At 45.4% G+C, this 23,326-nt stretch overlaps 1 long non-coding RNA gene across 3 annotated transcripts in view, besides 3 other annotated features; it reads left to right on the forward strand.

The window, feature by feature from the left end:
- Window positions 1–7,742: 7,742 nt before the first annotated feature.
- Window positions 7,743–23,326, forward strand: part of LOC124904184 (uncharacterized) — a 72,878-nt gene continuing 57,294 nt past the window's right edge. For all 3 annotated transcript variants that reach the window (XR_007066103.1, XR_007066101.1, XR_007066102.1), the window contains exons 1-2: window positions 7,743–7,785; window positions 15,348–15,436. This is a non-coding gene — a long non-coding RNA (uncharacterized LOC124904184). The remainder of the gene's footprint in view (window positions 7,786–15,347; window positions 15,437–23,326) is intronic.
- Window positions 9,750–10,307: an enhancer, noted in NCBI's record as "NANOG hESC enhancer chr1:55368845-55369402 (GRCh37/hg19 assembly coordinates)". NCBI's record gives its function as "activates a minimal SCP1, AML or CMV promoter by ChIP-STARR-seq in primed H9 embryonic stem cells {active_cell/tissue: H9 hESC(primed)}" and the evidence as "EXISTENCE:reporter gene assay evidence [ECO:0000049][PMID:30033119]".
- Window positions 12,859–13,421: an enhancer, noted in NCBI's record as "H3K27ac hESC enhancer chr1:55371954-55372516 (GRCh37/hg19 assembly coordinates)". NCBI's record gives its function as "activates a minimal SCP1, AML or CMV promoter by ChIP-STARR-seq in naive H9 embryonic stem cells {active_cell/tissue: H9 hESC(naive)}" and the evidence as "EXISTENCE:reporter gene assay evidence [ECO:0000049][PMID:30033119]".
- Window positions 13,422–13,982: an enhancer, noted in NCBI's record as "NANOG-H3K27ac hESC enhancer chr1:55372517-55373077 (GRCh37/hg19 assembly coordinates)". NCBI's record gives its function as "activates a minimal SCP1, AML or CMV promoter by ChIP-STARR-seq in naive H9 embryonic stem cells {active_cell/tissue: H9 hESC(naive)}" and the evidence as "EXISTENCE:reporter gene assay evidence [ECO:0000049][PMID:30033119]".

A 23,326-nucleotide genomic window follows, 5' to 3' on the forward strand; every position in this document is an offset into this window, starting at 1 on the left:
TTGTGGTTTTCGTAGTCTTTTTCTGTTATCGGGCATACATGATAACCCTCTTTTCACGGCCTTCCCAGCTCTATTTATCAGGGTTTTCTTGACATTAGTGACTCCATTTTGATGCTGACAACTGTTACAAAACTTATAAAATTTTCTTAAAATAAATTTATATTTTAAAACCTAAGCCAGGCATGATGGCTCACACCTATAATCCCAGCATTTTGGGAGGCTGAGGTAGGAGGATAGCTTGAGCTCATGTTTTGAGACCAGCCTGGGCAACATAGCAAGACCCCATCTCTACAAAAAAACAAACAACACAACCTATTGCAAAATCACTCTCTAAACATGCTACCCACAGGATATAAGAATAACAATGTCTCCACCTTTTTTTTTTTTTTTTTTTTTTTGAGATGGAGTCTCGCTCTGTTGCCCAGGCTGGAGTGCAGTGGCTCGATCTCGGCTCACTGCAAGCTCTGCCTCCTGGGTTTAAGCCATTCTCCTGCCTCAGCCTCCCGAGTAGCTGGGACTACAGGCACCCGCCATCACACCCAGCTAATTTTTTTGTATTTTTAGTAGAGATAGGGTTTCACCGTGTTAGCCAGGATGGTCTTGATCTCCAGACCTCATGATCCACCCACCTCGGCCTCCCAAAGTGCTGGGATTACAGGCGTGAGCCACCACGCCCGGCCCCCAATGTCTCCACCTTTATATCACCATGATAAATCAACAGACAATTATAAATGAATTATAAAACAATGATCTCTTTGTTGTTTAAATGGTAGGAATTTTAGATACTTAGCTGGTTGCTCCATCTGGCCTTTCAGTATCTCCCATATCACACATAAAAGGAGTTTGCTTAAGACCAGCCCACCATGGAGGAAATTCATCCACCAGTCTCCTTTTCCAGATTGCCAAAATGTTTAGTTCTCAGGGCTTTCTAGATAAGAAAAACAAGTGAATGTCCCAGACTGACCAGTCATAGTGATCCAAAGGCAGTCAGCAGAAATCAGTGTCATTACCATTTCTATCCTTGGTGCTGTGGCAGGCCAGAGTGTTTTCACCCTTTATGATCATTCTCAAGAGCAGTTCTTGCTGTTCCTTTGTGACTACAACCTTCTTTGTGGTCAGGTCAGTGACAAACTTTCTGACCAATGTTCTTGAGTCAACACTCATTCATTTAAGAAAGCAATCAGTAAATCATTGAGTATTAAACATCTTCAGAGTAGTCATAATGTTCCTTCGTATTAGCTTGTATCCCCTGTTATTTATTGGTTTTAATTTTCTTCTGGGTGGAACTTTATGATATCAGGGGTTTATTTCATAACTTCCAGCTGCCATCATGGATGGAAAGGTATAGAACATGGAAAGTTTTACAATTGGGATGGAGAATGGAGGACAGCATGCTTAGGGACCTGTGGCTATGCTTTACTATAAGCCAGGCATGCTGCCAGACGCTGGACATAAAACAGAAAATGAGATGTTCTTTTTTTTTTGAGACAGAGTCTTGCTCTGTTGCCAGGCTGGATCTCTGCCTCCCGGGTTCAAGCCATTCTTCTGCCTCAGCCTCCTGAGTAGCTGGGATTACAGGTGCACACCACCACACCCAGCTAATTTTTGTATTTTTTTTAGTAGAGACTGGGTTTCACCATGTTGGCCAGGATGGTCTTGATCTCCTGACCTCGTGATCTGCCCGCCTCAGCCTCCCAAAGTGCTGGGATTACAGGCATGAGCCATCGCACCTGGCCGAAATGAGATGTTCTATGCCCAACCCTCATGAAGCAAGGCTTGTCAACCTCAATATTATTGACATTTTTGGTCAGATAATTATTGCTGTGGGGATGTCTTAGGTATTGCAGATTGTTTAGTAGTAGCTAGATGCCACTAGCACCCTCCACCGAGTTGTGACAACCAGAAATGCCTCCAGACATTGCCACATGTCCCCTAGGAGGTAAACTCTTCCCTGGTTGAGAACCACCGGTGTAAGGGGAAGACAGACAGAACGAGAAATCACCAGTGAAATTCTTCTCAAGTTACACAGTAGAGAAACATAGACTGGTAAAGCAAGGACTTCATGAAGTCCAGGGCCTGACGGCTCAGAATGTGATCCTTGGACAGGCACTCCAGTCTGGATGACAGAGCGAGACTCCATCTCAAAAAAAAAAAAAAGTGAAGGCCCGGTCACAGTAGCTCATGCCTGTAATCCCAGCACTTTGGGAGGCCGAGGCGGGTGGATCATGAGGTCAGGAGATCGAGACCATCCTGGCTAACACCGTGAAACCCTGTCTCTACTAAAAAGTACAAAAAATTAGCCAGGCGTGGTGGTGGGCGCCTGTAGTCCCAGCTACTTGGGAGGCCGAGGCAGAAGAATGGCGTGAACCCAGGAGGTGGAGCTTGCAGTGAGCTGAGATTGAGCCACTGCACTCCAGCCTGGGAGACAAAGCGAGACTCCATCTCAAAAAAAAAAGAAAAAGAAAAAAAAGTGAATTAAATCACACATATCACAAAATCTAGTAAAATAATGTTATATTTTAATTAAACTGCCAGATACACTTCTCTAATACTTTTCCCCCCTACATTTTGGGGCTACATTCTCTTTTATCATTTCTTCATGTGACAACAATTTTTTTGCATTTTATATAGAGAGAATAAAATGATAATCCAGACCTTCCAACATGGTTGATTAAAATTTATTTTTTTATTATTGATAGTTTGGAACAGTTTTAGGTATATAAATAGCTATTGTTAATACTATAATACACTTTGATTGTTGTCAAATTTGGTAAAGGCTCTATTAAGTTTCTTTTTTTTTTTTTTTTTTGAGATGAAGTCTCACTCTGTCACTCAGGCTGGAGTGCAGTGGCAAGATCTTGGTTCACTGCAACCTCTGCCTCCCGGGTTCAAGCGATTCTCCTGCTTCAGCCTCCCGAGTAGATGGGATTACAGGTGCCTGCCATCACGCCTGGTTAATTTCTGTATTTTTAGTAGAGATGGAGTTTCACTTGTTGGCCAGGCTGGTCTTGAACTCCTGACCTCAGGTGATCTGCCTGTCTCGGCCTCCCGATGTATTGGGATTACAGGCGTGAGCCACCGCGTCCAGCTATTAAGTTTCTTTTAATTATGAGCTGTAAGGTTTCAAAGCATTTCAAATTTTCTCATGTAGTGAACAATCTCTGCTTTCTGAATTGAGTATACTCATTAACCAGGGCTTCAGGAGATGATCTATCAAGTGAGTAGCTCTGAAGCTGAAGTACCATTAATTTCATGTAAATACTTTTCTGTATATGCAGTTTCAATGACAGATAATAAACTGAGCTGGGTCTTAAATGACAGAGACTCAGTCCTTGCCAAAAGGACAGTCATGGACCAATGGGGAAGATATGAAAACAGCTAGCTATAAAGCAGGCAGTATGAAGCACTAACAAACTGTACGAAAAATACAACCTTCACTAAAAATGCTGGGCATATCACATACATGTCATAATGGTATAAGATAGGCAATAATCCTTTCCATAAATGTTCATCAAGTGACTATTATGTGTCTAGCACTGCTAGGCATAGATTGAGAGGAAATATGAGTATATTCAGCAGGACTTCTGTCCCATGGATCTTAATTTAGTAGGTAAGATGTGTATGCAGAAAAAGCAATGCCAATCACAGTAGTGGTAACAGGTCATATTTATTGAGCATGTCTTATTTGTCAGGCACTGTGATGATTAATTTTAGTGTCAACTTGACTGGGTTAGGGAATACCCAGATCGCCGATAAAGCAGAAGAGAACTAGCATTTGAATCAGTAGACCGAGCAAGGAAGATCCTCGGTATGGGTGGGCACCACCCAATTGGTTGAGGTCCCAGATAAAACAAAAAGGCAGAGGAAAGATGACTTTGCTCTCTCTTCTGGAGCTAGGATACCTATCTTCTTTTACTCTAGGTCCTCAGAAATTCAGGTTCTTCGGCTTTCAGATTGGGAAACTTACTGTGGCCCCCTGAGGTCCTTGAGCCTTTGGTTTTGGCCTAAGAGTTACACTATCAGCTTCCCTGGTTCTCAGGCCTTCAGACTTGAACTTGGAATGAGCGAAGCCACTGTTCCCTGGTTCTCCATCTTGTGGACAGCATACCATGGGACTTCTCAGCCTCCATAATTGCATGAGCCAATTCCCATAATAAATCTCCTTTTATCTATCTATCTATCTATCTATCTATCTATCTATCTATCTATCTGTCTGTCTATCTATCTATCTCTGTCTGTCGTCTGTCTATGTATCCATCCATTCATCCATCTATCCTATTGGTTCTGTTTCTCTATTGAACCCTAACTAATACAAGCACAGTTCTAAATGCTTTACATTTAAATATAATACAATAATGTGATTAAATACAACAGTAAAAAGTAGAATGTGCTAAATATTATACTTCCCAAGCTGTCCAATACTGAGTAAGTACTTAAAAGGAGGGAAAATCTTCTGACTCAATAATAACAGGTATTGAGTTTCATGCACGTCTGTGTGAAGAGACCACCAAATAGGCTTTGTGTGAGCAATAAAGCTGTTTATTTCACCTGGGTGCAGGTGGGCCGAGTCCGAAAAGAGAGTCAGTGAAAGGAGATAAGTGTGGGGCTGTTTTATAGGATTTGGATAGGTAAAGGAAAATGGGGGGTTGTTCTCTGGCGGGCAGGAGTGGGGGTCACAAGGTACTCAGTGGGGGAGCTTTTGAGCCAGGATTAGCCAGGAGAAGGACAAGACAATGTCATCAGTTAAAGCAGAAACAGGCCATTTTCACTTCTCTTGTGGTGGAATGTCATCAGTTAAGGCAGGAACCAGCCATCTGGATGTGTATGTGCAGGTCACAGGGGATATGATGGCTTCGCTTGGGCTCAGAGGCCTGACATTCCTGTCTTCTTATATTAATAAGAAAAATAAAATGAAACAGTGGTAAAGTGTTGGGATGGCAAAAATTTTGAGGGACGGTATGGAGAGATAATGGGCGATGTTTCTCAGGGCTGCTTTGAGCGGGATTAGGGGCGGCGTGGGAACCTAGAGTGGGAGAGATTAAGCTGAAGGAAGATTTTGTGGTAAGGGGTGATATTGTGGGGTTGTTAGAAGGAACATTTGTCATTTAGAATTATTGGTGATGGCCTGGATACAGTTTTGTATGAATTGAAAAACTAAATGGAATAAGAGAAGGAGAAAAACAGGTATGAAAGGTCTAAGAATTGGGACGACTCAGGACATCTGATTAGAGAGTGCCTAAGGAGATTCAGCATAGTCCTGTCAGCAAAGATTATTTATTTATTTCAAGAGTTAAGAGTGGCAGTTTGGGGATAGCACTAGGAGATATCAGCTGTGATGGCTTGGAGAAAGAGTGTAAACCGGCATTGTAAACAAGAGCAGGGCATGTATGAGTAGTTGAAAACAGTCAATAGAAGTATGACTAGAGAGAAGACAGTAGGGATGACAAGTTTTTTGGGGGCACAGTCTAAGTTGGTCTGGTGTCTGGAATGAGACTGGGGCCTAATAAAAAGGAGTGTCTATACTGGAGCTCAAATGGGCTCTGCCTTGTAGCATTCTGAGGACAGGTATGACTTCTGAGAAGGGAAAGTGGTAGAAGTATTGTCCAGTCCTTTGTAAGTTGGTGACTGAGCTTGGTGACGTGTGTTTTTAAAAGACCTTTAGTCCATTCTACTTTTCTTGAAGACTGAGGACTGTAAGGGATATAAAGGTTTCACTGAATACTAAGAACCTGAAAAAATGCTTGGCTGATTTGACTAATAAAGGCTGGTCTGTTATCAGACTGTATAGAGGTAGGAAGGCTAACCTGAGGAATTATGTCTGACAGAAGGGAAGAAATGACTGCGGTGGCCTTCTCAGACCCTGTAGGAAAGGCCTCTACTTATCCAGTGAAAGTGTCTACCTAGACTAAGAGGTATTTTAGTTATCTGACTCGGGGCATGTTGAGTAAAGCTAATTTGCCAGTCCTGGGTGGGGGCAAATCTTCGAGCTTGATGTGTAGGGAAGGGAGGGGGCCTGAATAATCCCTGAGGAGTAGTAGAATAGCAGATGGAACACTGAGAGGTTATTTCCTTGAGGATAGATTTCCATGATGGAAAGAAAATGAGAGGTTTTAAGAGGCAGGCTTGTGGCTTGTACTATAGCATAGCCTGCCTTTGCTGGTGTGTGGCGATTAGGCCTGGTGGAACTGCCATCAATAAATCAAGCATGATCAGGGTGAGGAACAGGAAAGAAGGAAATATGGGGAAATGGGGTGAATGTCAGGTGGATCAGAGAGATACAGTCATGGGGGTCAGGTGTGGTATCAGGAATAATGTGGGAGGCCAGATTGAGGTCTGGGCCAGGAACAATGATAATTGTGGGAGTTAACAAAAAGTGAGTACAGCTGAAGGAGCGGGGGAGCAGAAAGTATATGAATCAGGTATGAGGAAGAAAATAGATTTTGGAAGTTATGAGACATGTAGAGAGTGAGTTGAGCATAGTTCGTGATTTTTAGGGCCTCTAAAAGTATTAAAGCAGTGGCAGCCGCTGCATGAAGACATAAGGGCTAAGCTAAAACAGTAAGGTCAATTTGTTTGGACAGAAAGGCTACAGGGGGCGGTCCTGGCTTTTGTGTAAGAATTCTGACCCCACTAACCATGCCTAGGAAGGAAAGGAGTTGTTGTTTTGAAAGGGATTGAGGTTTGGGAGATTAATCAGACACGATCAGCAGGGAGAGCACGTGTGTTTTTATGAGACTTATGCCGAGAGAGGTAACAGATGAGGATGAAATTTGGGCTTGACTGAAGTAATGGGGGCTGTCTGTGAAGCCTTGAGGCAGTACAGCCTAGGTAATTTGCTGAGCCTAATGGGTGTCAGGGTCAGTCTAAGTGAAAGCAAAGAGAGGCTGGGATGAAAGGTGCAAAGGAATAGTAAAGAAAGCATGTTTGAGATCCAGAACAGAATAATGGGTTGTGGAGGGAGGTATTGAGGATAGGAGAGTATATGGGTTTGGCACCACAGGGTGGATAGGCAAAACAATTTGGTTGATAAGGCATAGATCCTGAACTAACCTGTAAGTCTTGTCTGGTTTTAGGACAGGTAAAATGGGGGAATCATAAGGAGAGTTTATAGGCTTTAAAAGGCAATGCTGTAGCAGGTGAGTGATAACAGGCTTTAATCCTTTCAAAGCATGCTGTGGGATGGGATATTGGCATTGAGCTGGGTAAGGGTGATTAGGTTTTAATGAGATGGTAAGGGGTGCATGATCGGTTGCCAAGGAGGGAGTAGAGGTATCTTATACTTGTGGGTTAAGGTGGGGGGATACAAGAGGAGAACGCAAAGGAGGCTTTGGATTGGGAAGAAGGGCAGCAATGAGATGCAGCTGTAATCCAGGAATAGTCAGGGAAGCAGATAATTTAAAGTGTCTCGGCCTAATAAGGGAACTGGGCAGGTGGGGATAACTAAAAGGGAGTGCATAAAGGAGTATTGTCTAAGTTGGCACCAGAGCTGGGGAGTTTTAAGAGGTTTAGAAGCCTGGCCGTCAATACGCACAACAGTTATGGAAGCAAGAGAAACAGGCCCTTGAAAATAAGGTAATGTAGAGTGAGTAGCCTCTGTATTGATTAAGAAGGAGACGGACTTACCCTCCACTGTGAGAGTTACCCGAAGCTCAGCGTCCGTGATGGTCGAGGGGGCTTGCAAGGCAATCGGGCAGCGTCAGTCTTCAGCCGCTAAGCCAAGAAGATCTGGGAAGGAGTCAGAGAGCCTTGGGCCAGAGTTCCAGGGGCTCTGGGAGTGGCTGCCAGGTGAGTTGGACAGTCTGATTTCCAGTGGGGTCCCGCACAGATGGGATGTGGCTTAGGAGGAAACCTGGGCTGCAGGCATTCTTTGGCCTGGTGGCCAGATTTCTGGCACTTGTAGCAAGCTCCTGGGGGAGGAGGTTCTGGAGGAACACCTGGCCACTGCGGTTCAGGCGTTTGGAAGTTCTTGTGTGCTGGAGATGTGACTGGGGTTTGTCTCACAGTGGAGGCAAGGAATTGCAACTGTTTTCTATTATTGTACACCTTGAAGGCGAGGTTAATTAAATCCTGTTGTGGGGTTTGAGGGCCGGAATTTAATTTTTGGAGTTTTATTTAATGTCGGGAGCAGATTGGGCAATAAAGTGTATATTGAGAATAAGATGGCCTTTTGACCTTTTAGGGTCTAGGCTGTAAAGCGTCTCAGGGTTGCTGCCAAACAAGTCATGAACTGGGCTGGGTTTTTCATATTTGATGAAAGAGCCTAAATGCTCACTGATTTGGGAGAGGTCTGATAAAGAAAAAGGAGCATTAATCTTGACTATGCCTTTAGCTTCAGCCACCTTTTTAAGAGTAAATTGCTGGGCAGGTGGGGGAGGGCTAGTCACGGAACAAAACTGTAAGCCAGACCAGGTGTGAGGAGGAGAGGTGATAAAAGGATTATAGGGTGGAGGAGCAGAGGCTGAGGAAGAATTGGGACCTAGCTTGGCCTGGCAAGGAGCAGCCTGGGGAGGAGGGGAGAGGTCAGATGGGTCTGTAGAAAAGGAAGATTAGGAAGACTCAGAGGCGCTTGGGGTTGGGACTGAGGGGGCAGGTGGGAGAGAAAGAAGGAAGATTTGGGATAAGCTGCATTGGGAACAGAGACTAGAGAGGGACTGATGTGTAAAAGAATGCCTGGCTGTCAGGCACCTCAGACCATTTGCCTATTTTACGACAAGAATTATTTAGATCTTGTAGGATGGAAAAATTGAAAGTGCCATTTTCTGGCTATTTGGAACTACTGTCGAGTTTGTATTGGGGTCAAGCGGCATTACAGAAGAAAATAAGACACTTGGATTTTAGGTCAGGTGAGAGTTGAAGAGGATTTAAGTTCTTAAGAACATAGGCTGAGGGAGAAGGAGGAATGGAAGGTGGAAGGTTGCCCATAGTGAAGGAGGCAAGCCCAGAGAAGAGAGTAGAGACACGGAGGGAAGGGGTTCGGGGGTTCTTACCCTCCAGAAAAGTGGGAAAGGGGTAGGGGCACAGAGATACAAGATAGGGGCATGGAAATAAGGGATTGGGGCGCAGAGGTATAAGAGGTTGGGGCACAGAAATAAGGGATTGGGGCACAGAGATATAAGGTGTTGGGGCGTGGAAATAAGGGTTCGGGGCACAGAGATACGAGGTTGGGCTACTTGCCCCTCCCCTAGAAAAGCAGGACTTGCCACTAAGGGTGAAGGAGAAGGGGTTGGGGGTTTCTTGCCCCCCAGAAAGGTGGAGAAGGAGTAGAGACATGGAGAGAAGGGGTTGGGGTACTTGCCCCTCCCCCAGAAAAGCGGGACTTGCCACTAAGGGTGAAGGACCAAGGCAGGTGTCCCTGCATGGTCTGACACCTCTGAAACGTGGGTGAATAATCAGAGAGGTGTCCCTGCAATGATTAAACACCAAGGGAAGGCTGCCTTCCCAGTCCGTGACTGGTGCTGGAGTTTTGGGTCCACGGATAAAACAGGTCTCCTTTGTCTCTATCAGAAAATGAAAGGAATTGAAATTAAGAGAAGGGAGAGATGGAAGAGTGGAAAGGAGAAAGTGGTTGAGGGATAGTGAGAGAGGTTGGAGAAGAGAGTAAGAAGAGGCCGCTTACCGGATTTAAAATTGGTGAGATGTTCCTTGGGCTGGTGGGTCTGAGGACCTGAGGTCATAGGTGGATCTTTCTCATGGAGCAAAGAACAGGAGGACAGGGATTGATCTCCCAAGGGAGGTCCCCCGGTCTGAGTCACGGCACCAAATTTCATGTGTGTCCATGTGAAGAGACCACCAAACAGGCTCTGTGTGAGCAATAAAGCTGTTTATTTCACCTGGGTGCAGGTGGGCTGAGTCCAAAAAGAAAGTCAGCAAAAGGGGATAAGGTTGGGGCCATTTTATAGGATTTGGGTAGGTAAAGGAAAAAAGGGGGTTCTCTGGCAGGCAGGAATGGGGGTCACAAGGTACTCAGTGGGGGAGCTTTTGAGCCGGGATGAGCCAGGAGAAGGAATTTCACAAGACAATGTCATCAGTTAAGGCAGGAACAGGCCATTTTCACTTCTTTTGTGGTGGAATGTCATCAGTTAAGGCAGGAACCGGCCATCTGGGAGTGTATGTGCAGGTCACAGGGGATATGATGGCTTCGCTTGGGCTCAGAGGCCTGACATTGAGCACCTGTTGTGCACCAGGCTTGACACACCCATCATCTCAATATAAATCTTAACACATCTCTACCAAGTGGACATGCCCCCCATATATCAGTGTTCAGAGAAATTAGGGAGCTGGTCCAAGGAGAGTAAGTGGTGGAACCAGGTGCTGGACACTGGACTTCTTAGGAAAGATGTCACAAATCAGGCACTGATGGCCAGAATGGGTCTCAGCTTTGTTCAACTTAAATATAGGATACAAGCATGTAGTCCAACAGACCAAAGAAGAGTGAAAGTTTTTTAACAAAAATAGCAGCCTCCTCCTCCTCTCTTCCATACCCCCACCCTGCTTTTTTTCTCTTACAGCTGGTTCCATTTGGCAGGACAGCTCCTTGAGGGCAAGGACTGTCCCCCAATCTCTGTGTGCCCAGTGCCCAACACAGGCCAGTGTCCTGAAGTCAACTGGTCCTTAGTTTGATCCTTTTTTTTTTCAAGACAGGATATTTCACCATCGCCCAAGCTGAAGTGCAGTGGCACGATCATAGCTTATTTGCAGCCTGAAACTCCTGGGCTCAAGTGATCCTCTCATCTCAGCCTCCGGAGTAGCTAGGACTGCAGGTGTGCACCACCACACCCGGCTAATTTATTTATTTTTTGTACAGATGGGGTCAGGCTATGCTGCCCCAGTCTACTCTCAAACTCCTGTCCTTAAGCAATCTTCCCACCTTGGCCTCCCAAACTGCTGGGATTATATGTGTGAGCCATGCCCTTGGCACCAATTCTTGAGTAAGAATTATTTCAGTTTCTTCTCACAAAGTGAGAACATTAAAAAAAAATTAGTGAGTAAGCATAATATACAAAAATATTTCCACTTAGTGGTCAGACTAACAGTAGCTTACTGTTGAAAACAACAATGAAACCAGGTGAAAGTTAGCCGTACCCATTTCATTCAGACAGTCCCAGCTAGAGTCCCTGCTCTTCTCTCCATTATCCTTGAGCAAGTTATTCAGCCACTCCAGATAAGTTCTGGCATGTGTTAATTCTCCATGAATATCTGTCATTACCATTTCCTAACAGAAAGGAGCAAATGTCTTTGATCATTTACTAAGCCTATGCCCACATTTCTTGGCAGGGATAAACTATCCAAAAGTCACAGACTATTGACTTAAATGAATGTATGGAATGAAAGCACTGATTTAATAAGCTCAGTGGCATGACATTCTTGGGGCATGGGTAAGGAGGAAGCTGACGCAGGAGCAGAGATGCTAATGGGGGTGAGAGAAAACTGCAGAGGCAGCAGGATGGCTGTGCACCCAACAGAAAAGCAGCATGGGGGTTTAATGAGGGACACACAGTCCTCTTTCTTAAGTAGCCTCCTGGAGGGCATGACCATGAGTTTGACAGCTCTTTATAGCAGTAGGTGCAGATAATGATCACTTGAAGTATCAGTAAAAATGTCAATCAAAAAAATATGTTCAGAGAAGCACCCAGCCAGGCCAAAAAAAAAAAAAAAGTAAGTGTATAATGCTTTTTTAAAAGACACCTGAGAATCTGTTTGACTTTGGGAGAGCTTTAAGAAGCAGTGTTTTCTAGATTTTAGGAGTTCATGGCCCAAAAAAGAATTAAAAAAAATCAAGGCCCACCATAGAGCTGCCAACTTGTTATTGTGGCACATAAAGACACTAAGAAACAACCAACAAAAGAATCACCACCTACTCTTGTCATATTTTCATAGAAGATAGGAAATTTTAATGTCAGAAACAGTAGGAAGATCCCAATCTTAGCATAAAGGATAGTCCTTCAAATGGAATACATTTAGCATTATGAAAAGCTTGCTTCATTTCATATTTTTTCTGACTTTCCTGCAATTTCTGGAAGCATTGTCACGAACCAACCAAATGGACCCTGCATTTAGAAACTACTATCCTCTAATGCTGTGGTTTTCAAAGAATGGGCTGTTGGCCAGCAGCATCAGCATAACATGGGAACCTGCCAGAGATACAAATTCTCAGGCCCCATCCCAGGCTGAAGCAAAAATTCTGGAAGTGGGCCCAGCAACCTGTGTTTTGACAAGTTTTCCAGGTAGTTGTGACGTGCCCAAGTTTAAGAATTAACTGTTGTGGGCCAGGTGCAGTGGCTCACGCCTGTAATCCCAGCACTTTGGGAGGCTGAGATGGGCGGATCACGAGGTCAGGAGATTGAGACCATCCTGGCTAACACGGTGAAACCCCATCTCTACTAAAAATACAAAAAAATTAGCCGGGTGTGGTGACGGGCGACTGTAGTCCCAGCTACTTGGGAGGCTGAGGCAGGAGAATGGTGTGAACCCGGGAGGCAGAGCTTGCAGTGAGCAGAGATGATGCCACTGCACTCCACCTGGGTAACAGTGCAAGACTCTGTCTCAAAAAACAAAACAAAACAAAACAAAAACAAAAAACAAGAATTAACTGTAGTGAAAGGAAAAGATCTTGGGGCCCCAAGATCACTAAGCTACAAGGAAAACTCAAGCTGGAAATTGCTCAGGACAAAACCTGCCTCCCGTTCTATTCAAAGTTATCTCTGTTCACTGAGATAAATGCATATGTGATTGCCTCCTTTGGAAAGGCTAATCAGAAACTCAAAAGAATGCAACTATTTGTCTCTCCCCTATGAGTGACCTGGAAGCTCCCTCCCACTTTCACTTAGAGTCTTCCTGCCTTTGCTTCAAGTTGTCCCGCCTTTCCAGACCAAACCAATGTACTTCTTACATATATTGACTGATGTCTCATGTCTCTCTAAAATGTTTAAAACCAAGCTGTGCCCCAACCACCTTGGGCACATGTCATCAGGATTTCCTGAGGCTGTATAATGGGTACATTTCTTCAACATTGACAAAATAAACTGTCTAAATTAACTGAGACCCAGCCGGGTGTGGTGGCTCATGCCTGTAATTCCAGCACTTTGGGAGGCTGAGGCAGGCGGATCACCTGAGATCAGGAGTTCGAGACCAGCCTGGCGAACATGGAGAAACCCCGTCCCTACTAAAAATACAAAAATTAGCCAAGCACGGTGGCACATATCTGTAATCACAGCTACTCCAGCCTGGGTGACAAAGCAACTCTGTCTAAAACAAAACAAAACAAAACACGTTTCCATGTGAGTTACCTCAGGTAGTTGGAAACTGCAGACTAATCTCCTTAGTCCCAGTTCTGCCCTCTTGAGCCACAGTCTCCCCCACTTGACAACGCTGTATGCATTTGAAGATGACTATTCCATCTCCCTTCTCTGTGCTCTTAATGCAGGCAGTGCTCTTAATTGGCCCTTGCTTTCACTCGCATCTGTGTGAAGAGACCACCAAACAGGCTTTGTGTGAGCAGCAAGTCTGTTTATTTCACCTGGGTGCAGGCAGGCTGAGTCCGAAAAGAGAGTCAGCGAAGGGGAGATAGGGGTGGGGCCATTTTATGAGATTTGGGTAGGTAAAGGAAAATTACAGTCAAAGTGGGGGTTGTTCTCTGGCGGGCAGGAGTGGGGGTCACAAGATGCTCAGTGGGGGTGCTTTTTGAGCCAGGATGAGCCAGGAGAAGGAATTTCACAAGACAGTGTCATCAGTTAAGGCAAGGACCGGCCATTTGCACTTCTTTTATGGTGGAATGTCATCAGTTAAGGCAGGAACAGGCCATTTTCATTTCTTTTCTGATTCTTCAGTTACTTCAGGCCATCTGGGCATATACGTGCAGGTCACAGGGGATGCGATGGCTTAGCCTGGGCTCAGAGGCCTGACATTCCTGCCTTCTTTTTTTTTTTTTTTTTCTTTTTTGAGACGGAGTCTCACTCTGTCGCCCAGGCTGGAGTGCAGTGGCGCGATCTCGGCTCACTGCAAGCTCCGCCTCCCGCGTTCATGCCATTCTCCTGCCTAAGCCTCCTGAATAGCTGGGACTACAGGCGCCCGCCACCACGCCTGGCTAATTTTTTGTATTTTTAGTAGAGAAGGGGTTTCATCGTGTTAGCCAGGATGGTCTCGATCTCCTGACCTCATGATCCACCTGCCTCAGCCTCCCAAAGTGCTGGGATTACAGGTGTGAGCCACTGCACCTGGCCCCTGCCTTCTTACATTAATAAGAAAAATAACATAAAATAGTATTGAAGTGTTGGGGCAGCAAAAAAAATTTTTTTTGGGGGGGGTGGCATGGAGAGATAATGGGCGATGTTTCTCAGGGCTGCGGATTAGGGGTGGCATGGGAACCTACAGTGGGAGAGGTCAAGTTGAAGGAGGATTTTGTGGTAAGGGGTGATATTGTGGGGTTGTTAGAAGGAGCATTTGTCATATAGAATGATTGGTGATGCCATGGATACAGTTTTGGATGAATTGAGAAACTAAACAGAAGATACAAGGTCCGAATAAAAGAAGGAGAAAAGTAGGTATTAAAGGACTGAGAATTGGGAGGACCCAGGACATCCAATTAGAGAGTGCCCAAGGGGGTTCAGCGTAATTACTTGCTTGGTTGGCAAGTTTTTGGGCTCTATCCTTGAGTTTTTTTATGTTGTCATATACCAGGCCAGATTGATTTGGGTAAAAACAACACTCTTCATTTAAAAATATACAGAGTCCTCCTTTTTCAGCAGTGAGTAAGTCAAGGCCTCGGCGGTTTTGGAGGATAACTGCAGCTAAAGAGTCAACTTGGGCCTGGAGGACTGATAAAGTTTGTGATATGTCTCTGATGCTACCAGAGAAGTCATTAGACAGGCTACGGAAGGTCATGACAGAGGTTGAAATGCCTGCTATTCCAGTACCGAGAGCAATAATGGAGGCAGACAGTCCTAAACCGACCATCAAGGGAATTACTAGAATAACTCTTTTTTGTCATGTCGATGTCATGAGGGGAAAAGGGAGCTCTTAGGTCCCATGTGCAAATTGAATTTTGGGAGTAAGGAAAACTAGTGTGCATGTGCCTGTCCAATTAGCAGGTAGACACATGTAGGTAGAGGATCCACAGAGGAAGAAGAGACCTTGTGCGAGGTAAAACTGGAGATGCAAAGTAAAAAGATGAGAAGGAGTGCTGAAAGGGGTGTCTTGTACCCAGACTCCTAGGGATCCAGCTAGGGCAGCAGCCATCAGAGGTTGTAATGGGGACTGAGGAGGTAACTGCGTAGGGGGGGAGGTTCGATTTTCATGGTGTAGGAGAAAACGTTGAGTGTCTATGAGCAAATTTTCACTGTTATTTTCAGGGCTTGTTTACTAAGTAAACAAGAAGAGGGCCTGGGAGGAGAGTCTGATGAGCAAGGGGAAGGTAGCCAAGGATGGAGTGAAATACAAGGTAAGCGTCTTCCTAAGCAATAATTACTGCTAATGTTTTTAAGTTTGCCAGTATTGATAGAGGGCTTATCTGTAATATGGAGCTGGAAGGCTCCAATTGTTTCAGTGATGTGTATAGTTGGGCTTTGGAAATGAAGAGTAAAGGAACATTGAGAAGGTGAAAAGTTACCCAGGGGAATTCCAGTGGGTCTTTGCCGAGAGATACATAAATGAGTGGAATAGTAGTTTGTGTTGTGAGGGGTCCAAATACGGGGGGAGTAGAGTTGATATAAGGAGAAAGGTTTTTTAAGTAAGTGTGAAGGAGGGCAGCAGCTTGCTGATGTGAAATGTCTGGGGAGGTCCTGCTGGACCTATCTAGAAAGTAAATGAGTTCTTCACGAAGGTAAACGTGAGGGCTGTTAAAGTTAGGAGGCATAGGGAGACAGAAGATGTTGCTCAGTCTGTATGTAAGGCGGGGACAGCTGTGTAGGCGCTGGAAGAAAGAGAAATGCAAAGCCAGCAGTTGTTTGCTAAGGAAGGTTTAGAAACAGCTAGGAGAGAATGGGTAAGGTTGATAGTGTGGTGGAGATAGCTGGGGAGAGGTAGAGGGTGGCATAAGAATGGGAATGAGAATCACAGTGAGTATAAAAGTAAAGAATAGAACTTCATCAGGGTGAAAGTATTGGAGGGTCCCCTGCCAGCAAAGATCATCTATCCACTCTAAGAGGGAGTTAAGAGTGGCAGTTTGGGGATAGCACCAAGAGATATCAGCTGTGATGGCATGGAGAAACAGTGTAAACTGGCAGTGTAGACAAGAGTAGGACATTTATAAGTAGTTGAGAACAGTGAATAGGAGTATGACTAGACAGAAGATAGTAGGGATGACTAGTTTTTGGGGTTCGGTCCAAGTAGTGGGGGTGACTTCATAAAGCCCTGTTGCAAAAAGTAGGGTAAGGATGAACAGACCTAATAGAATGAAGGGATGTATTAGGCTCACAAGGGTTATTACTGTTCTTCAGAAATATGAGTGAGTTTAAGGGAAGTAGGGGAGAATACTTGCGACTTCCAGGAGGAAGAGGAGGGATTAGGCTGGCTGTCCGACGGACACAGCTTTATTCTGGAATGGTGAACCCAGTGGGAAGGATCCTGCAGGCAGACAGCAGTTGGGGTACTATAGATGACTAAATAGGGTCCTGTCCACGACGTTGTAGAGTTTGAGGGGTCAGATTCTTAACCAGAACTGATCGTCCAGCTAGGGTGTCTTTGTATGGCTGAGAATCTGGAGTAGGCAAGAGAAGATTAGCAGCCTGGTGGATTTCCTGTCTAGCCTGCTGGAGAACTGGAAGATAGTCGCCTACAGGGCTGGTGTCTGGGATGAGGTTGGGACTGAGCAAGAAAGTGCGTGCATATAAAAGTTCAAATGGACTGTACCCTGTAGCATCTCAAGGACAGGCTCTAATTCTGAGAAGGGCAAGAGGTAAAAGTACTGTCCAGTCCTTTTTAAGATGGAAGCTGAGCTTGGGGAGGTGTGTCTTTAAAAGACCATTAGTCCGTTCTACCTTTCCTGAAGATTGAGGATGATAAGGGATATGAAGTTTCCACTGAATACCAAGAGCCTGAGAAACTGCTTGGGTGATTTGACTAGTAAAGGCTGGTCCGTTATCAGCCTGTATAGAGGTGGGAAGGCCAAACCAAGGAATTATATCTGACAGAAAGGAAGAAATGACCGCGGTGGCCTTCAGACCCTGTGGGAAAGGCCTCCACCCATCCAGTGAAAGTGTCTACCCAGAGCAAGAGGTATTTTAGTTTTTTGACTTGGGGCATGTGAGTAAAGTCAATTTGCCAGTCCTGGGCAGAGGCAAAACCAGGTATCCAAAGTCAAAAGTATCTAACCATGCCTAGGAAGGAAAGAAGTTGCTTTGTAGAAGGTGTTGGGGTTTGAGAGATCAGTAGGACACGATCGGCAGGGAGACCACATGTGTTTTTATGAAGAATTATGCCGAGGTAGGTAACAGATGGAGTGATTTGATCTCCTGTCCTCCTGTCAGCCTGGTCTGGATGCCTTTTTATTATTAATCAGCAACTGCCACTTATTGCACGTTAGTTATCACGTGCCACACCGCCTAGGAATGTTCCATATGTTCTTACTTTAAGTCTTCACAATAGCTCTGGTGTTACCGGGGGGTCGTTTCTCCCAGAGCTCCCAAGATGGTGGCGGGCTACTTCCAAAATGGTGGCAAGCCTCGTGTTCTCTGACCTGGGGTTCTTGGCCTCACGGATTCCAAGGGATGGAATCTTAGGCCATGCGGTGAGTGTTATAGCTCTATTAGAAGCCGTGGGTCATGGAAGAGAACCGTGGAACCCAGTGACTAGTGTTCAGCTCGATTAGGATGAACCCGGGCACTGAGCCATGCAGGAACAATGGCAAGCGTTTAGCCCGATCAGGAGCGGCAATGGGTGCCTTGCTGGATCAGGAGCACAGTGGACACCCTGCCAGATTTGGAGGGATGAAAGTCAGTGGCGGGTCTGTGACGGTGGCAAACAGCAGTGGTGCACAGCGAGCGAAAGCTCAGCTCCAGCTGTAACAAACAGGGACCAGAAGAATTGCAGTTGCAAGATTTAATAGAGTGAAAACAGAGCTCCCATACAAAGGGAGGGGACCCAAAGAGGGTAGCCATTGTCAGCTCGAATGCCTGGGTTTATATCCCGATCATTGTCCCTCCCGCTGTGCTCTCAGGTGATAGATGATTGGCTATTTCTTTACCTCCTGTTTTTGCCTAATTAGCATTTTAGTGAGCTCTCTTTACTACTTGATTGGTTGGGTGTGAGCTAAGTTGCAAGCCCCATGTTTAAAGGTGGATGCGGTCACCTTCCCAGCTAGCTTAGGGATTCTTAGTTGGCTTTGGAAATCCAGCTAGTCCTGTCTCTCAGTTCCCCCTCTTTAACAGGAAAACCCAAGTGCTGTTGGGGAGGTTGGCCGACAACCTCTAACTGCTTCCTGCTGAATTGGGGCATAGTAGGGGTGGTGCAGTTGAGATTTCCTTGGTAGGATTGCCCTCGATGTCATTAACATCAGAGCATGGACTAGCAGGCCGGCCCAGGGGTCCGTGGTAGATTTTAGTCATGGACTGCATCTGGGGCTCCATTTGAAGAACAATTTGTAGCTTTAGAGCTTCAATTCTGGAAGAGACAAACTTAACAAGGAGGTTGAAGATATAGAGTCCAAAGAGGAGTAACAATATTATAGCTGCTAAAGGTCCTAAGAAGGGGAGAATCCAGGGCATCCATTGGCTGAGGAGGCCGCAGGTTCTGGTGTTTTGAAGCTCCTCTGCTCTACATTATGTTCAATCTCAAATTTCTTTAACTTTCTCGGTGACGATTCTGGATTGATTAACATAATAACAGCATTCTTCCCCTAAAAATAAACAGGTTCCGGCAGGACGTGGTGGCTCACGCCTTTAATCTCGGCACTTTGGGAGGCCGAGGTGGGGTTATCACGAGGTCAGGAGATGGAGACCATCCTGGCTAACATGGTGAAACCAATCTCTACCAAAAATACAAAAAATTAGCCGGGCATGGTGGTGGGAGTCTGTAGTCCCAGCTACTCAGGAGGCTGAGGCAGGAGAATGGTGTGAACCCGGGAGGCGGAGGTTGCAGTGAGCCAAGATTGTGCCACTGCACTCCAGCCTGGGTGACAGAGCGAGACTCCGTCTCAAAATAAATAAATAAATAAATAAAATAAAATAAAATAAAATAAAATAAAATAAACAGATTCCCCCTCTTTCGGCGGTTAGCAAGTCTAAAGCTGTCTGATTTTGAAGGACTACTGCTGCTAGGGAGTTAAGTTGATCTTGCAATGTGACCAGGGAGTCAGCGACCCGTTCCATGTCACCATTTAGTTCTTGAGATAGTTTGTAGAACTGAGTAGATGCTGTGATACCGCCAGGGCCAGTACCTAGTCCGCCTAGCACTCCTGCTCCAATAACAAAAGGAAGAATGGGTACTCTTTTGTTGCGGGGCTTAGGTGCAACATGATTGTATAAATTTTGTTCAGTGTAGATGGTCATAGGGGCACTAAGAATGAGAGGAAGCACATAGATTCTGAAGAGCCATTCAAACAACGATAGGCTGAAGTACCACAGACAAAAAATATTCCTGAGGTTAGGCAGACTATTCGCGTGGGAGGAGTAACCCGCCTGATGCATTGGGAGTTGGCTGTTGCTATAGTATTGCTAAATTTTACACAGGTGAGGTTTGAGGTATGGATTATTTCCAGATTGGAAACAAGAGGTCCTACTAAAATGGAAGTGGTGTTTATTTCTGTGCTGAAGTTATTCCATTGTTCAGGTACAGGGACTGAAATGTATGGCCTGAAGTGCAGGGGGAGGCACATCCAACAGTTAGTAGGGTTTTGGTCCGAGACCTCATGGAGCCCAGTGAGGGTGGTATTAAATAGGCTTACCAGGTGAGTATGGGTACGGAGGGGTTCATGTAGTTTTAAGAGATTGAGTCCTTTGTAGGGGCTAGGAGTACTATGTACCTGGGTCAGTTGGGAGATTACTTCCTTTACGTGTTTTTCTCTTGCCTGATCTTGAACTCCACCCCCATCAGACATACCGGTATGGGTGAAGTAAGTCCAACAGATAGTGGCTCCAAGTCCTCCAGGACAACTAGGATTAATCATTTTCCCTGTCCAATAATGAGTATTTGCATGCATACAAAGAGTGGCAGAGTTATAGCAGTTGCGGGACATATGGGTGTGGGCAGTGAAGGTGGAGGTTCCCTTAGATAAACTCCTATACAATGGGGCATCAATATTTCCGGGAAGCTGCATTCTCCAAGAAACTCTTGGTAAGGGGAGCTACTGGTCATAGAGTGGCATGGAGGGGGTGCAGTGAGAGTGAAAGGGGGTAAGAGAACAGTAAAGAGAAAAATACGATAAGGGAGAGCCATGGGGATTTATGATTTTAGTTACTTTCCTCACAGTTGTCTGACAGCCACAAGTCTCCTTTAGCAATGAGTATGGCGTTCACATCATGAGATGACCACACAGTAAGATCTCTTCCCTGTATTTTAACTGCTTCAGATACTAAGACTGCTACTGCTGCCACTACCCATAAACAATGAGGCCAACCCTTTGCCACTACATCAATTTCCTTGCTCAGGTATGCCATGGGTTGCAAGCTCATCCCTCGGACCTGTGTAAGGTCTCCTAGAGCTATTCCTGTGTTTTACTGTGACATATAAAGAAAATTCTTGCCCCGTTGGCAAGCTTAACACTGGGGCTTGGGTTAGGGCCTCCTTTAGGGCCTGGAAAGCCGCTTCTGCTTCAGGTGTCCATCTTAGTAAATGGGTATTGGCTTTCTGAGTTTCCTTAATTAGTATATATAATGGCCTGGCTATTTTGCCGTACCTGGGAATCCATATTCGGAAGAAACCTGTTATGTCAAGGAACCTTCTTAGTTGCTTTAGGGTTTTGGGATGAGGATAAGCCAGCATAGGCTGGATACATTCCTCACTGAGGGCCCTGGTGCCTTTGGATAATTTTAGCCCTAAGTATTTAACCTGCTGTGAGCAGAGCTGAGCCTTTGGTTTGTAAACCTTGTAGCCACAGGTAGCAAGGATATTTAAGAGTGCTTGGGTGGCTTGATGGCACAAGGTTTCTGAATGGGTGGCTAAAAGTAAATCATCCATGCACCAAAGGACAAGAATGTCCAGGTATGAGAATTGGCTCAAGTCTTGGGCTAATGCCTGGCCAAATAGATGGGGGCTATCCCTGAACCCTTGAGGTAAAACAGTCCAGGTGAGTCGAGACGTTGGGTTTGAAGGATCTTCAAAGGCAAATAAGAATTGAAAGTCAGGATGTACAGGGATGCAGAAAAAGGCATCATTAAGGTCCAGGACTGTAAACCACTCTGCTTCCTCTGGTATTTGGGAAAGCAGAGTGTAAGGGTTAGGTACAGCTGGGTATAGAGGGACAATGGCCTCATTGATAATCCTGAGGTCTTGCACTAACCTCCACTGCCTGTTGGGTTTCTGTACTCCTAAAATTGGAGTATTGCAGGGGCTATTGCATGGTTTTACTAGGCCTTGGGCATTTAGGTCCATAACGATCTTTTGGAGTCCCTGTTGGGCCTTGGGTCTAAGCGGGTACTGCCTTTGGTAGGGAAAGGAGGTGGAATCCTTTAGTTTAACTTGAACAGGATGGGCATTCTTTGCTCGCCCATATTGTCCTTCTGTTGTCCAGACTTCAGAATTAATTCCTTCTTCAAGCAGGGGACAACAAACAGGTGTTCCTTTTCCTACGTTCAGATGTATAATGGCCCCTGCTTTTGCTACAATGTCTCTCCCTAACAAGGGAGTGGGGCTTTCAGGCATAATTAGAAAGGCATGTGAAAAGAGTAAAGTTCCCCAGTCACAACTTAGTGGCTGGGAGAAGTATCTAGTGACTGCCTGTCCTAGGACCCCTTGGATAGTGACAGATGTGGAGGACAGTTGTCCAGGACAGAAGAGTAAGACTGAGAAGGCCGTGCCAGTGTCCAGGAGACAGTTAACCTCCTGGCCCTCAATGGCCAAGCATACCCAGGGCTCTGTGAGGGTGATGGCATGGGCTGGCACTTGCCCCGGGCACCCTCAGTCCTGCTGCTGGATCATCTGGTTAGTGGCTTCTGACTCAGAGGACCTTCGTCTCCTGGGGCAATGGGCCTTCCAGTGATTCCCTTGACATAAGGGGCATGGATGAGGGGGCGGTTTATTTCTACTTGGACAATCTTTTTTAAAATGTCCTTATAGACCGCACTGGAAGCAAGCCTTGTTAGGCATTCAATCTGCCCAGCTTTTCCCTTTTCCAGAGCCTCCAAAGTCCGCTTGCTTGAAGGCCATGACTAAAGCGGTGGCTTTTGTTTTATCCCTCTTGTCCCATTCCACCTGCTCCTCCTGATCTCTATTATAAAAAACTGAGGTTACCAAGTTCAATAGGGTTTCTAAGTTTTGCTCCGGGTCTAAGGTGACTTTTGAAGTTTTTTTCTAATGTCCACAGCTGACTGAGTGATAAACTTTTCCTTTAAGATTAGTTGGCCTTCAATAGAGTCAGGTGACAGACAGGTATGCTTCCTCAATGCCTTTCAAGTCTCTGCAGAAAGGCAGTAGGATTTTCTTCCTTTCCCTGTGTTATAGTGGACATCATTGAATAATTCATAGTCTTCCTAGTTTTCCTTAGTCCTTCTAGCCCACAAGTTAGCAAATGTCTGCAGCACCAATCTCCATGTTCTGATTCTATGTCCCAGTGAGGGTCTACACTGGGAACTGCCTGCTGGCCTATGGGGAATCATTCTCTTTCCTCTGTTGTCATCCTATCATTGACCTGACTGAGACACCAGAGATCGCCAGACTCTCGGGCTGCAGTTATGGTGGCACTTCTCTCATTTGGGGTTAGTGTCTGATCTAGCAGTAACATTATCTCTCTCCACATCAGATCAAAGGATTCTCCTAACCCTTGTAAAACATCAATATAGCCATCAGGGTTATCTGAGAATTTACCTAGGTCTATTTTAATTTGCTTTAAGTCTGGGAGAGAAAAAGGTACATGCAGTCTGGCTGGGCTGAATTCTCCTCCTCCCACTGCTTGGAGGGGGCATAATCAGGGAATATTGGCACTCTTTGGTTCATTGTTTACCCCTTTGTCTATCTCTTTTTGGACCACTTGGGGTGAAGGGGGGGTCCTTATTAGTTGGGGAAGGAGTCAGTGGGATGCTCCGGTAGGGAGGTAGACTCTGAGGCTTCCTGTAGGGCATAAATCACACTTTTTACAAAATTGCGAGTTGTCTCTTAATGAAAAGAAAGTTTGTACATATGGCACTTCACTCCATTTGCCTTCTTTTCTACAAAAGAGGTCTAGCTGTAAGATGGTGTT

This window comes from Homo sapiens, chromosome 1, assembly GCF_000001405.40.
Source record: "Homo sapiens chromosome 1, GRCh38.p14 Primary Assembly".
NCBI lineage: Eukaryota > Metazoa > Chordata > Mammalia > Primates > Hominidae > Homo > Homo sapiens.